Here is a 15,242-nt window from a genome sequence, read left to right on the forward strand (position 1 = left end):
CTGCGGAGTAGAAAAAGACCGCGGCGGCCCCTGCCCTCCTCTGGGCCCCATTGTCTTTCCCTCCTGTTTTAAAATCCACACGGTACTTGACCGGGTGAGGTAGCTCACGTCTGTAATCCCAGCACTTTGGGAGGCCGAGGCGGGTGGATCACGAGGTCAGGAGTTTGAGGCCAGCCTGACTAACATGGAGAAGCCCCGTCTCTACTAAAAATACAAAAATTAGCCGGGAGTGGTGGCACACGCCTGTAATCCCAGCTACTCAGGAGGCTGAGGCAGGAGAAGTGCTTGAATCCAGGAGGCAGAGGTTGCAGTGAACCGAGATTGCGCCACGACACTCCAGCCTGGGCGACAGAGCCGCAGTTCGTGGTGAAAGGTAGGCCCATTTTTTGAGAGTCTTCTCTGTCAAAAAAAAAAAAAAAAAAAAAATCCACACGGTGAGAGCTCCAGTGGCGTCAGGGTGCACGTTTCTCCATCTCCGTGCCGTGAGCTTCATCGCGGGTAGAAAATGGCTTGGTCGCTGGTAGGGTAGAAGGGGCAGGAAACGGACGTAAGTGGGAGGGACGGTCAGGCACTGACGGCAGAGTTTGAATTTCCCAGGAGCCGAGGCACTTTAGTAGTTTTATCACACTCCAAATAAATCCAAGTTCAAACCCGCAGTTGAATACACTCCGACTCTGATCTAGAATGAAAAATTGTTGAGATACGGTCATCGGGCGCCCGGCTAGCTCAGTCGGTAGAGCATGAGACTCTTAATCTCAGGGTCGTGGGTTCGAGCCCCACGTTGGGCGGCAACTGGTCGTTTTAGTCCTAAATCTACGACTACTAGCCATACCTAAAAATATATTATAAGTAGACCAGCTCTTAGGAAAATAATCTGCTCTGAAGTCTTGCATTTCTGTGTGTGTAATACTCTTGCGGGCGCTCCACTGTTCATTATCTACCCATTATCTTGCGATACAATTAGGATTTAAAGCTGTGGTAAAATATGCCCAACAAAATTTAACACTTTTTAACTGTACAGTTCTGTAGCATTAAATACATTTAAATGGTTGTGCATCAGTCTCCAGTCCTTTTTCCTGTTTCCCAGATGAAACTCTGAACCCATTCAGCATTAACTCTCCATTCCCCTCTGCCCACAGACGCTGGCAACCACCATTCTACTTTCTGTGTCTTTGAATTTGACTCCTCTAGATACCTCATATAAGATGAATCGTGCAATATTTCCTTTTTAAATTGTCTTATTTCACTTAATGTCTTCAAGATTCATCCTTATATTTCCTTTTTAAATTGTCTTATTTCACTTAATGTCTTCAAGATTCATCCTTATTGTAGCATGTGTCAAAATTTCCTTCCTTTTAAAGCTGATTAGCATTCCATTGCACATATATACCACATTATCCATTCATCTGCCAATGGACACTTGGTTCCTTCCTCCTTTTGGCTACCGTGGATAATGCAGCTATGAACATGAGTGTACAGATATCTGTTTGAGTTTAGGCTTTCTATTTTTTTAGAGTATACATCACAAAGTGAAATTACTAGGTCATACGGCATTTCTGTTTTTGCGGAAGTGTCATACCATTTTCCACAGAGGCTACATCACAAATGAGCTTTAAAAAACATCTTTCGACCTGGCGCGGTGGCTCACGCCTGTAATCCCAGCACTTTGGGAGGCCGAGGCGGGCGGATCACGAGGTCATGAGATCGAGACCATCCTGGCTAACACGGTGAAACCCCGTTTCTACTGAAAAAAAAATACAAAAAATTAGCCGGGGGTGGCGGGCGCCTATAGTCCCAGCTACTCAGGAGGCTGAGGCAGGAGAATGGCGTGAACCCGGGAGGCGGAACTTGCAGTGAGCCAAGATCGCACCACTGCACTCCAGCCTGGGCGACAGAGAGAGACTCCGTCTCAAAAATTAAATTAAATTTAAAAAAAACATCTTTCGGCCGGGCCCAGTGGCTCACGCCTGTAATCTCAGCACTTTGGGAGGCCGAGGCGGGTGGATCGCCTGAGGTCAGGAGTTCGAGATTAGCCTGACCAATATGGTGAAACCCTGTCTCTACTAAAAATACAAACATTAGCCGGGCGTGGTGGCACGCGCCTGTAATCCCGGCTACTCGGGAGGCGGAGGTTGCAGTGAGACGCGATTGCGTCACTGCACTCCAGCCTGGGCGACAGAGCAAGATTCCGTCTAAAAAAAAAAAATTAAAAAATACAAACGGGCCTTGTGGTGGACGCCTATAATCGCAGCTACTCGGGAGTCTGAGGCAGGAGAATCACTTGAACCCAGGAGGCAGAGGTTGTAGTGAGCTGAGATGGCGCCACTGCACTCCAGCCTGGCGGACAGAGCGAGATTCCGTCTCAAAAAAAAAAAAAAGCCGGGCGCGGTGGCTCACGCCTGTAATCCCAGCACTTTGGGAGGCTGAGGCGGGTGGATCACGAGGTCAGGAAATCGAGACCATCCTGGCTAACACAGTGAAACCCCGTCTCTACTAAAAACACACAAAAATATAGCCGGGCGTGGTGGCGGGCGCCTGTAGTCCCAGCTACTCGGGAGGCTGAGGCAGGAGAATGGCGTGAACCCGGGAGGCGGAGCTTGCAGTGAGCAGAGATGGCGCCACTGCACTCCAGCCTGGGAGACAGAGCGAGACTCCGTCTCAACAACAACAAAAAAACCCAAAAACAAAAATCTTTCGGCTGAGCGCGGTGGCTCATGCCTGTAAATCCCAGCACTTTTAGGAGGATTGCTTGAGGCCAAGGGTTCGGGAGCAACCTAGCCAGACCCTCATCTTTAAAATAAAAATTAAAGAACATTAAAATATAAAACAGAATTCAGTGAAAAGTGTTTAACTCCCCCTTAAAATTTCAATTTTATATTTTTGTACATATTCTTCCAGAAATTTTGATGCAAGTAGTTTTTTTTGGGGGGGGGGCTGGGTAAGGAGGGGGAACAGAGTCTCTTGATCTGTCGCCCAGACTGGAGTGCAGTGGCGAGATCTTGACTCACTGCAACCTCCACCTCCCGGGTTGAAGCGATTCTCTGCCTCAGCCTCCCGAGTAGCTGGGACTATAGGTGCCTGCCACCACGCCTGGCTAATTGTATTTTTAGTAGAGACAGGGTTTCACCATTTTGTCCAGGCTGGTCTCGAACTCCTGAACTCAGGTGATCCGCCCGCCTCGTCCCCTTAAAGTGCTGGGATTACAGGCGTGAGCCACAGCGCTCGGCCTTTTTGTTTATTTTGTTTTTTGACAGAGCCTGTTGCCCAGGTTGGAGTGCAGTGGTGCAATCTCAGCTTGCTGTGACCTCTGCCTCCCGGGTTAAAGCGATTCTCCTGCCTCAGCCTCCTGAGTAGCTGGAACTACTGGCGTGCGCCACCACACCCAGTTAATTTTTTCTATTTTTAGTAGAAACCAGGTTTTGCCCTTTTGATCAGGCTGGTCTTGAACTCTTGGTCTCAAATGATTGCCTGCCTCAGCCTCCCAAAGTGCTGGGATTACAGGTGTGAGTCACTGTGCCTGGCTGATACAAGCGGAGTTTTATTTTCCTGTATTTTATACAAAATTTTGTATTTTATGATTGTGCTATATTTTGAAGATTTTTTTTTTTTTAAGTAGGAGTTTCGCTCTTGTTGCCCAGGCTGGAGTGCAATGGCACAATCTTGGCTCATCGCAACCTCCGCCTCCCAGGTTCAAGTGATTCTCCTGCCTCAGCCTCCCTCGTAGCTGGGTAGCTGGGATTACAGGCATTTGCCACCACGCCCAGCTAATTTTGTATTTTTAGTAGAGACGGGGTTTCTCCGTGTTGGTTAGGCTGGTCTCGAACTCCCGACCTCAGGTCATCCGCCAGCCTCCGCGTCCCAAAGAGCTGGGATTACAGGCATGAGCCACTGCGCCCGGCCTATTTTGAAGACCTTTCTATTTCAAGACATAGAACATATCCTCGATCTTTTTTTACAGCTGCTCAATATTCCGCTGTCGATGAATCATCTTTTATTTAACAGATCACTTAATGGATGGGCATTTACATTGTTTCCAATTTTTTTGTTGTTACGATCAATGCTACAGTTAAGCATGTAGCAATTGTCATTTTGCACTTTTGCACTTTTTTATCTGTGGAGGTAATTGCCAGAAATGAGATTTGTTGCATCCAGGTTTATATGCAAGTAATTTTGTAAAAATAGATAAATTGCCCTACTGTAGAACCTACAGTCTGATATTACCTCCCACTAGCCATGAATGAGATTGCCTATTTCTCCAAGGTCTTGGGGGAAACGGGCTGCCTGGACAACAAATTTAAGCGTGTGACTCCCCCACTTAAAATTGCTGGAGTCCCTCACTGCCTGCCTGCAGGATAATACCCACTGGAGGGCGTGCAGGGTGCCACCTGGAGGGGAGAAGGACCCTCCCCGCCCCTTTACATCACACAGGAATGTACTCAGATAAAAGATTTTGAAGAGTACAGTGTCACTTTCATTTGCGGTTCTTAATCCAATTCTATATGGCAGCGTCGTTTTTTCTCTTTTCAAGCCTGTTTCTGAAGAAGCTATCATGTTCTCTTCACTTGCAAAGCCAGGACACCATTAGAAAGGCCTGCTCTGTTATTTCTTACTCTGCACATCTTCTTCCTTGGACAGGAAGAATCCAACCAGACATAAGAAATAAAATTTATATGTCATTTTCCATTTGATCTTGGTGTCCTTTGGGGCATGTATAAATTATTAGAGCACAGATGCGTTTGGTGAAGTGGTCTACAAGAATGATTACATATAATTTATATGTAAATTATTAATCAACCATTTCTGAATGTTTTCATTTAAAAGCCTCATTTGAAGCAGAAAATTATCTTCAGGTTTAGTATATTCATGGCTGTTATCTAATCTAACTAGTCTAAAAATATTCCAGTATCTCTTTCTTTACCAATCACTGGTTTCTCTTTACTGAACTTGAGGAAGTCTTTCTTCTAGGATCTCTGTGGTAGCATCAGGGAAGATGGCTCAGCTGCCATCAAATGCTCACTTCACTGTTTCGTTGCTGTTTATATCATATCACATTGGATTAAAGGTGCGAGTCCCTCAGGTAAAAGGCAGGCCTCAGTCACATGCTGGTGTTCTGGAGAATGTGAGTTTTGAGCAAGAAGGAAGCTGAAGTGTCAACTAGGGCAACCTAACTCTGGAGGACTGCTTGCAATAGGAAGAGTGGCCAAAAAGATGACCCAGAATGGCCCGCTCTTCCATTCTGTGTTGGGACCAACTGGAGTAGAGCCATAGGATATTCTGGGAAACGTCCCTGCTTATCACTGTCATTTGAGATGTATAATATCTAAGGGTGCGGGGCGGGGGGCGCTTCTGAATATAGAAAAGAATACATGCTTGCTTTGTGATTAATATTCAATTTATTAGAGTTGCAAATGTTAAGGCCTAGTTTTTCTGAAGGCTTTAAATTCAGCTTACAGATATTGCTGTTTTTCTATGAAGCTATCATTTTTTGAAACAGCCAGAACAATCCCTTTCGTTAGTTCCCTCATTAACTTTCCTTAGTTAATGGTTCCGTCATTAACTAAGGCTATCAAACGGAGGCATTCCGAACGGCTAAGCAATTGGTAATCTTTTCTTATATATTTCAAATTACAATTATGAATTTTATGCTTATGAACCCTCATTGGCTGGACAAGGAGACAGGAGACTGAGACATTAGGTCACAGCTGGCAGTGGAGAGCTGGTATCCGAATTTCATCTGCTCTTACAGACTCCCTGCTTTAACCCCTAACCCATAGCACTTTCAGAAATCCTGGGAGTATTGTTCATTTGAAATCTTCTGAATAAAGCTATGTACTAATTTGTCTGTCTTTCACAGTCCTGCACTGAGGCCTTACTGTGTGCCTCATTAGCCTGGAAGTCCAGTAAGATAGCAGATCCAATGTCTTCCACTCATTTTTCAATCTGTTTGCAAAACAAAAACAGCAACTGGTGTGGATGGAGTCATGAGAATGCATATCCAAGGAAGTAGACCTGTGGCTCCTTACCTCCCCACACCCAAGGTCTTCCTTCTTGAGCACACCAGTCTCATTCCTACTTCATAGTATGTGACCTTCCTCTGCTTCCTCTCTCCCAAGAACCTGTTCTCCAGATCTTTGGAAGGCTGCCTCTCTCTTTTCCTGGCTCAGCTCAGTGTCACCTGTTCTGCCACCTCATTCCTGGCCCCTCTCTATAATGCCGTCTTCTGTTTACCTGCCACTCTGCCACGTTGCCCTCTTTAATTTTGTCACAGTCCTTACTCTCTGAGGTGGTTTCTGTATCTGCCTGTTGTTTGTTATTTAAATCACCTGTCAGAAAGTGAACTCCAGGCGGGCAGGGACCTGATCTATCCCTTTTTACGGCAATATAAATGAATAAATAAATGAGATGTCATTTTAACAGTGCACACCACAGGTTGGTTTCGAGGATGCAATGAATCAATGCGAGTCTAGCACATAGGACAATGCCTAGAACGGTGGTGTGTGCCTTTAATCCCAGGAGGGCTGAGGCAGGAGGATTGGATTTCTTAAGCCCAAGAATTCAAGGTCAGCCCTAGCAACATAGGGAGCCTCTAGACTCATCAAAGAAAATGTAAAAAAAATAAATAAAAGGACAGTGCCTAATCCCTAATAAGGGTTCAATTAATGAGATTTGTAGCTGTTAGTATGATTCCCTAAACTTCAAAAGGTTATAGAGTATCAGAACAGCCACAGTGAAAGGGAGACGGTCAGTGATGAGACTACAGAAGAGAAGTCCATGAAATTTATGAGGATTAGAAAGAAAAGAGCCAGTGGGTTGGAGATGGACGGAGACGGATAAAACAGGAATAGTGGGAGAGTGAGAGTTGTTGAAGCTGGGAGATGTGTATTTGGACTTTCATTACACCTTTCTGTCTAAATTTTGAGACAAGGTCATGCTCTGCTGCCCAGGCTGGAGTGCAGTGGTGCTATCTTGGCTCACTGCAACCTCCTCCTCCCAAACTGAAGCCATCCTCCTACCTCAGCCTCCTGAATAGCTGGAACTACAGGCGCCGGGCTAATTTTTCTAGAAAATATTCTGTATTTTCTACTTTAAAATAGAAAAAAAGAGAGAAAATAATTTTGTACTTTTTGTTTTCTCATGTTGCCCAGGCTGGTCTCAAACTCCTAGGCTCAAGCAACCCACTCACCTTGGCCTCCCAAAATGCTGGGATTATAGGTGAGAGCCACCATATCTGGCCTACAATTGCTTTTGAGTGAGAGGTTAAAAATCTAAGTAGATAATTTGGTAGGGAAATGATGTTGGAGTTTATTTGAAAAAAAAAAAAAAAAAAAAAAAAAAAGGCCGGGCGCGGTGACTCACGACTGTAATCCCAGCACTTTGGGCGGCCAGGTGGGTGGATCACCAGGTCAGGAGTTGGAGACCAGCCTGGCCAATATGGTGAAACCCCATCCCTGCTAAACAAAAATTAGCTGGGTGTGGTGGCGCGTGCCTGTAGTCCTAGATGCGCGGGAGGCTGAGGCAGGAGAATCTCTTGAACCCAGGAGGCGGAGCTTGCAGTGAGCCAAGACTGTGCCACTGCACTCCAGCCTGGGCAACAGAGCAAAACTCTGTCTCAAAACAAAACAAAACAAAAAAGCAAAGATCTAGCAAAGCTGCAAGTCAGTAGAACCCCGGATGTGAGTTCGCCTCCTTCAAACTATTTCTCTAGGGCACCTGCAAGTGAGGGAGCCAGGAGTTTTGACTCCATGCACTGTCCTGGCACCCGGAGTGGGCTCTTTTATTCTTCACTGAAAAAAACCCCCTCAAACTTCCTGAATATTCTCCTGCATCATAGGGTAGAGGAATTTTAGACAGGCCAAAGCAGAATTTGGAAACAGGGGTGCTTTCAAATACTCAGGACAATGCTGAAAAGACAAAGAGCCATGGCAAAGGGGCGCCCACCAACAAGCAGCTGCAATTCAAGCATCAAAAAGAGAGTAATAGCACTGAGTTCCAGTTAACTGAAACAAGATGAGTTAAGGAAAGCTGTAAATCCATAATGACAAAGTGGCATTGTGTAACCTAAAGCCAGCCACGGTGGCTGAGACCTGTAGCCCAATCAACTTTGGGAAGCCTCTAGGAGGATCCTTTGAGGCCACCATCCACTCCATGTTTCTAAAATATATATATGTATTTTTATATAAAATATATAGCATATATAATATATAATAAAAATATATAATATATTATAATTTATATAATATATAAATATAATATAAATATTATAATATTATATATAATATAATATAAATATTATAATATTATATATAATATAATATAAATATTATAATATTATATATAATATAATATAAATATTATAATACTATATATAATATAATATAAATAGTATAATATTATATATAATATAATATAAATTGTATATATAATATAACATAATATAAATATTATAATATTTATATAATATAATATAATATAAATATTATAATATTATATATAATATAATATAAATATAAAATATATTTGTTATCTATATAATTTAATATATTATATAAAATAGAATATATTCATTATTTATATAATAAATATAGAATATATTCATTATTTATATAATAAATATAGAATATATTCATTATTTATATAATAAATATAGAATATATTCATTATTTATATAATAAATATAGAATATATTCATTATTTATATAATAAATTCATTATTTATATAATAAATATATAATGTATGTGTTATTTATGTAATAGATTTATTATTTGTGCAATAAATATATAATATATAAATATATAATATATTTTATAAATATATATAATATATAAATATATAATATATTTTATAAATATATATAATATATATTTAGAGATGTGGAGGGGGCGGTGGTCTCAAAGGGTCCTCCCGGAGGATCCTCCCGAAACTCCGTCTCCAACAAACAAACAAATATATATACATTTGAGACGGAGCGGAGTTTCGCTCTTGTCGCCCAGGCTGGAGTGCAATGGCGCCATCTCGGCTCGCTACAACCTCTGCCTCCGAGGTTCAAGCTATTCTCGTGCCCCAGCCTCCCAAGTAGCTGGGATTACAGGCGTGTGCCACCGCGCCCAGCTAATTTTGTATTTTTGGTAAGATGGGGTTCACCACGTTGGTCAGGCTGGTCTCGAACGCCTGACCTCAGGTGATCCACCCACCTCGGCCTCCCAAAGTGCTGGAATTACAGGCGTGAGCCACCGCGCCCGGCCCGTTCCTAAAATGTAATTCGAAATAGGACTCCAAAGAGACTGTTTCCTGTACATCTTGTTGCCCTGCCCAGCTAGCTGGCTGACGTTGACTGTGTTGCTTTGAATTTGCTTCACTGTCTCCACAAGGAAGACCAATGCGAACTGTCTTACGTTAGCTGAGGCACAGAGCAAAATATACTTAGAGAAGAGTGACAAAGGACTGAGTGATGGTCCTGGCCTCCCAGAGTCCCAGTGGCCAAGGAGGTCAGCTTAGAGGGATGCAGAAGGCACTCCGTCAGCAAAGTACAGACTCACTTCAAACCAGTCAGTTAAACACGACAGGAGGAGTGCGAGGGGGGGTCGGCGGGGAAGGGGTGAGGAGAAGTTGGGCCGGGGAGAATTTTCTGGGAGAACTCTCCTGCATGGGGTCTGTGAGTTCCAGGCTGACTACCGGACTTCCTGATGCGTAAATTCTGGGACGGTATAAAATTACAATTAAGTGTGAAAGAGCGGTGTTGAAGAAATAGGCATGACATTGATATTTTCTGTGAACGTTATGCTAACGCTGTCCCAACAAGTTTCCCACCACGGGACTCTGCTTTGATTACGCTTTGTCTGCATTTAAAATGTATGAAACGTTAAAGAGAATTTTGGTTTTTGCCACTTTTCCTTTTTTTTTTTTTAACGGGCTCGGTGCCCAGGCTGGAGTGCAGTGGCGCGATCATGGCTCGCTGCAGCCTCGACCTAGGGTAGTAACTGGAACTGCAGGTATGCACCACCACGCTCGGCTAATTAAAAAAATATATATATTTTTTCCTAGAGATGGGGCGGGGGGCGGGGGCGGGGGCGGAGGGGACAGTCTCACTATGTTGCCTAGGCTGGTCTCGAACTCTTAAGCCCGGTTTCCGAGTCGCTGGGGCTACAGTAGCGCGCTGACACGCCCGACCCTTGCTTTGCCACTTAGATGTTGCATTTATTCGACTTTCACGTCGGGCAGAGGTGCTGGGAAAGAGGCGGCTGGCCCCTGCGTAAGTGTGCGGGTGCGGTGTGAGAAAGCTGGAAGCCTGTTTTCTAGGCGGGGAAGCAGCCTGCGCTGCCGGGGCCGCATCATGGCACGTGGGTTTCCCCGGGCTTACTCTCCTGCCAGTAGCGCTGTCCTAGGGATCCCGCCCACCCCTCCGGCTTCTTCTCTGAAGCCTTTGCAGCATTTTCCCTGAGATTGCTGAAGAGGCCCCTGGGGATCGGGCTCCCAACTCACCCGCCGCGTCCCACGGCCCGAAGCCGACGAGCTGCAAGTGAGGATGGGTGCAGAGGGAGGCCGACGGTCACGCCTTGGAGAGGCTGATGGTCCTCTTGACCGCCCTCCACCGCCACTGCGAACCCAAAAGCCGTGTCAGTGCTGCAGGCCCGCCCGAAGTGGCGCAGTCCTCCTCCTGAACCAGCCTGTATTTCACTTGAATTTCTCTGTGCCCTGTTTCTTTTCCGTTCCCTGTCCTTTTGCTCCGTCCTACGTGTTCCGCAGCCTTGTGTGACCTGTCCATGCCTCAGTGGCCTCATCTGTAAACAACCTCCCAGAATGGTTAGGTTCCTCTGCAGGAAGCCCAGGGCCACACCTGCAGACTACTTGATGTGTGGTACACGTTGTAGTTACCGGCATCACTATTGGCCCGCCGGTGCACACCTTCCACGGCGTGAACTTCCACCAAGGATTTCCAACCCGAGCCTTCTTGCACTTTTTAATCGTTCATCTGTCATTCCGTGGCATTCCCCGGCGGCTGACTGTATTTGATCCGCCGGGACTTTGCAGGAAGACCCTAATAATGACCAGTAAGACCACTTACTTCTCACCCTCATATTACAGACGTAGACATGGAATACGCAGGTTGAAGTTAATTGGCAATGGATTGGAAAATCCGGCCGGTGTCTAAGTGTAGCAAAACTTGTGAACGTTTATACACATAGACTCCACACTAAGAAACCTTTTTGAACTGGAAGGAAAACACAGTCTTGTTTCCGCCCGGTTTCGAACCGGGGACCTTTCGCGTGTTAGGCGAACGTGATAACCACTACACTACGGAAACAGATGCGGAGAGGTTACTCTATGACTTTTATAAGTGTTATAGTCAACATCCAGGTGTCGGCTTCACCCATGGAGTCATGGCCCTTAGATCCATTCTTCCCCAGAACACCAGTCTCCTTGTGGCCCTGCGTAATGCCGTTTGTCAAACTGTAAAGCGTGACCTCTAAGGGTACCCCAGTCACTTCCAGCAATTAAAAGCAAAACAAGGCCGGGCGCGGTGGTTCACGCCTGTAATCCCAGCACTTTGGGAGGCCGAGGCTGGCGGATCACGAGGTCAGGAGATCGAGACCATCCTGGCTAAAATGGTGAAACCCCCGTCTCTACTAAAAATACAAAAAAATTATCCGGGCGTGGTGGCGGCCGCCTGTAGTCCACTCGGGAGGCTGAGGCAGGAGAATGGCGTGAACCCGGCATGCGGAGCTTGCAGTGAGCCGAGATCGCGCCACTGCACTCCAGCCTGGGCGACACAGCGAGACTCCGTCTCGAATAATAATAATAAATAAAAACAAAACAAAAAACTAGCGAGCATCGCGGGAGGAAAGGCAAATGTACCTTCCAAGGCTTAAGACTGGATACGCTTCCCTAGTGGTTCCTTTTCTTCCAGGGAAGACAGCCAGAGGTTTCAATTTTCACATGATTTGTGCTCTACGGACAGTAATGACAGAGAGGATTCAAAAAATGCAAAATGCATTTAAAGCACACGATATTTAAATATATTTTGTTAAAATGTAAATTAAAGTAAACATAAAAATCAAAAAGTGAAATTATTCTTATGTCCTTTCAAAAATTTATTTCTATGAATTATGCATAAGTATTAAACTAAACGGCAAAATATAAATTAATGAATATCAAAATTTTAAGTCGGTTTTTAAAGATAAATCTGAAATTTTTTTTACATTTTAAAAGTTCAATGAAAAATTTTAAGTATTTTTATAAAAATAAAACTCGCCAATCCTAGCATCCAAGGTATGTACGTATGTAGAGTTGGAATACGCTTAACGCCTGTCATATGGAGATCTGCATATATGTAAATTTAAAAGTAGTAGCGATTGCTTAATATTGTGAAATGTTTTTCCGCCGCCGACGCCTAATTTCCGAATACCTGGATTGCTTGGAAGCGAGGCGCAGTCCTGCTGATCAGGGATCCTTGCTGCCTCTGTGACCCCGAAGGCCCGCTCCTTTCGGCGCAGGGCGGGAGCCCTTCTTGTGTGCGTCTGATTCTCTGGTCAAGGTCACCACGGGCCTCCAGGTGGCCCAATCCATGGACGCCTTCTCTTACGAGACCATGTGCTGAACTGGACGCTGCCAATCTCCTTTGCACTGTGCGGCACCCTAGGCCTGGGTGGGCGCTTCGCTGCAGGCTTTTCTCCCATCCCGTCTCCGCCTCCGAGCGCCCAAGGCTGACCCTGGAGCGTCACGTCGGCTGGCAGCAGGACCCACACCTTAGCTCCGTCTCTGGTTCCAGCAAGAACTGTTCTCCCAAGCTTCAGATCCACGCGTGTCTTGGGCAGTTTTTCCAGGTATCTCACAGCATCTAACGCCCAACCGTTCGAGACCTAAGTCATTGTTTTTTTCTTCCCTCCCCTCCCGCATCCTCAGCCTGTGATCTAGGTTGTGGAACTACCCAAATCTATCGCCGCTGCAAGCCTTGCATCCCGCTCCTTCACCTGCGTCTCCCTCTGGCTGCCGCCTCACCCGGCGCCGGCCGCCTCCTGTATGGACCAGGCCTGTGTCCTTCCAGCCCCTGTCTCCGACAGTCTTACTCCCCCTCATACTCCCTGTTTGCATCACTCCTGAAGGAACCCCCTGAAATATAAATCAGAGTGAGTCCCTCAGTCTCCCCAGGCCCCATCACCACAGGGTTTGGGAGGAGGCCAAAGATCCCACCAGGTTCATGTGTGTGTCGTGCTTCTCCGACTGTTGAACGCTTGCCGCCTTTGTGCCCGGAGCAGCTTGGGTCACTTGCCTGGAGGGGCATCCCAAACCTGACCTGGCCAGAGCGGCGACGGGTGGAAGGGGTGGAGAGGAGAGAAAGCAGGAATTGTAGCAAAAAGCTCCAGCGGGCGTTCCCTTGGCTTGCTAGAGGACAAAGAAGAGAAGCCTGTCCACTTCATCTCCACTTTAATGAAAAAGCCAGAATCCTTTAAGAATGTTTTCCAGTCCCAGTGAAGGTGGTAAAAAATAACCCTGAAATCACAGTCTGCAAAAGAATCCGAAATAATTTGTGCAAGACGAAATGTCAAACTTAAAACTCTTTGAACACCAGCTTTGAACACCAGTAACTCATGTGCTAGGATTGTACTAGCGACTCTGCCTATTTACAAACGTTGACCAACTTCTGCCCAGACCGCCCTCACAGACTATATAGCCCTCATAAGTCCCCGCTTTGATTTACGTCTGAGACAGAAGACGATGCTATCTTTTGCTCAGCGAGATTAAGCCAGCTTTCTATGATCAACAGACTTCTCTCGTGGTGTGGTGCGTATGCGGAGGAGACTTCGACAGCTTAAAAATACAAAACGGGGCCAGGCGCGGTGGCTCACGCCTGTCATCCCAGCACTTTGGGAGGCTGAGGCAGGAGGATCACGAGGTCAGGAGATCGAGACCGTCCTGCCAACATGGTGAAACCCCGTTTCTACTAAATACAAAAAATTAGCCGGGCGTGGTGGCGCGCCTGTAGTCTCAGCTATTCGGGAGGCTGAGGCAGGGGAATCACTTGAACCCGGGAGGCGGAGGTCGTAGTGAGCCGAGGTGGTGCCACTGCACTTCAGCCTGGAAACAGAGCAAGACTCCATCTTAAAAAAAAAAAAAAAAAAAGAAAGAAAGAAAGAGAAGAAAAAAAGAAAAAAGGCCTATATTTGCAGGACTAATTTCGAGGCCATCCTGGGCTCAAGCGATCCTCCCGCCTTGGCTTACCCAAAGTATTGGGATTACAGGCATAAGCCACCGCGGCGCATGGCCCGTTTTTATCTCTATTTATGTATGGGGGAAACGTGGAGGCTGGTATTTGTGGGGCAACATCTCACAAAAATAGACTCTTAAAGTCAAGAGCATAAAAAAGAATATACGGAAGACAAGTGTCTCATATGACACAAAGCATCTTTCTTGACAGGGAGTCGAAAGCAGGTCGTAGCGAGACAAAGGCGGAAGCCTAACCACTAAATCTCCCAGTAAAGTGGGAGTGAATCAGATAGGTTTTGACGCTCACGAACGCCTGGGGTCGTCCTGCGGTCTCACCCCAGTTTCGATAAACCACATTGTTCCCTCCAGCACAGCAAGTCTCACAGCAAGACGGGGGCAGGCCGTCTGGTAAACATAAAATGCCTAATATGTGCTGCCCGTGGGCGAGTGGCCTACAGCAAAGGGTCATGCATGCACGATAGCCCGCGGTGCTGGCCTGCAGGAATTGGTCCACAGGTACCCGCCTCTCATTCTTTCTTTGAGAGTTAGCGAGGGTGCAAACGTTGTGAGAATTCTGCTCGGGGCCTTCCACACACGGATCGGAGAACACCAGGTTAGTCCAAGTTCTAACACCCACTGTTGGTGAATCTGCTACCCACTAGGTCTTGGTACAGAGAATACCATTTGTGCACTTAGGTAACACAACTTGCCTTAACCTTTCCAAAAAGCGAAATTACGCCCAACGTGGGGCTCGAACCCACGACCCTGAGATTAAGAGTCTCATGCTCTACCGACTGAGCTAGCCGGGCGGCCATGTCTGTATTCTAACTTTGTCTCTGAAGATGGAGGTTACCCTCAGAGGTGTAAGCACGTTTCCACTGTGCAAATACTAAGAAGCGCCTGCGCCTGGCTCTGTTCTAGGCACTAGAGCCGAGGATCTGAAATCTACGGATTCCTGTACATGTGATGGCTGCATAGGCTTCAGAAGGGAAGAGCAAGAGATTAGGTGAGGGGCGAGACCTGAATTTACTTGAGTAGT

General features: G+C 46.0%; 3 non-coding genes across 3 annotated transcripts, besides 6 other annotated features; 1 reads left to right on the forward strand and 2 right to left on the reverse strand.

Annotated features, from left to right (window-relative positions):
- Window positions 540-599: an enhancer, noted in NCBI's record as "active region_23783". NCBI's record gives its function as "activates an Ori minimal core promoter by ATAC-STARR-seq in GM12878 lymphoblastoid cells {active_cell/tissue: GM12878}" and the evidence as "EXISTENCE:reporter gene assay evidence [ECO:0000049][PMID:35858748]".
- On the forward strand, window positions 716-788 carry TRK-CTT2-2 (tRNA-Lys (anticodon CTT) 2-2). Its single transcript has one exon. It is a non-coding gene; the product is annotated as a tRNA-Lys (tRNA).
- Window positions 980-1,069: an enhancer, noted in NCBI's record as "active region_23784". NCBI's record gives its function as "activates an Ori minimal core promoter by ATAC-STARR-seq in GM12878 lymphoblastoid cells {active_cell/tissue: GM12878}" and the evidence as "EXISTENCE:reporter gene assay evidence [ECO:0000049][PMID:35858748]".
- Window positions 9,429-9,498: an enhancer, noted in NCBI's record as "active region_23785". NCBI's record gives its function as "activates an Ori minimal core promoter by ATAC-STARR-seq in GM12878 lymphoblastoid cells {active_cell/tissue: GM12878}" and the evidence as "EXISTENCE:reporter gene assay evidence [ECO:0000049][PMID:35858748]".
- Window positions 10,575-10,704: an enhancer, noted in NCBI's record as "active region_23786". NCBI's record gives its function as "activates an Ori minimal core promoter by ATAC-STARR-seq in GM12878 lymphoblastoid cells {active_cell/tissue: GM12878}" and the evidence as "EXISTENCE:reporter gene assay evidence [ECO:0000049][PMID:35858748]".
- Window positions 11,165-11,254: a silencer, noted in NCBI's record as "silent region_16791". NCBI's record gives its function as "represses an Ori minimal core promoter by ATAC-STARR-seq in GM12878 lymphoblastoid cells {active_cell/tissue: GM12878}" and the evidence as "EXISTENCE:reporter gene assay evidence [ECO:0000049][PMID:35858748]".
- TRV-AAC1-4 (tRNA-Val (anticodon AAC) 1-4) lies at window positions 11,231-11,303 on the reverse strand. Its single transcript has one exon. It is a non-coding gene; the product is annotated as a tRNA-Val (tRNA).
- Window positions 14,821-15,030: a silencer, noted in NCBI's record as "silent region_16792". NCBI's record gives its function as "represses an Ori minimal core promoter by ATAC-STARR-seq in GM12878 lymphoblastoid cells {active_cell/tissue: GM12878}" and the evidence as "EXISTENCE:reporter gene assay evidence [ECO:0000049][PMID:35858748]".
- Window positions 14,940-15,012, reverse strand: TRK-CTT2-3 (tRNA-Lys (anticodon CTT) 2-3). The gene has a single exon. It is a non-coding gene; the product is annotated as a tRNA-Lys (tRNA).

This window comes from Homo sapiens, chromosome 5 (genome assembly GCF_000001405.40).
Source record: "Homo sapiens chromosome 5, GRCh38.p14 Primary Assembly".
In the NCBI taxonomy this organism is placed as follows: Eukaryota; Metazoa; Chordata; class Mammalia; order Primates; family Hominidae; genus Homo; species Homo sapiens.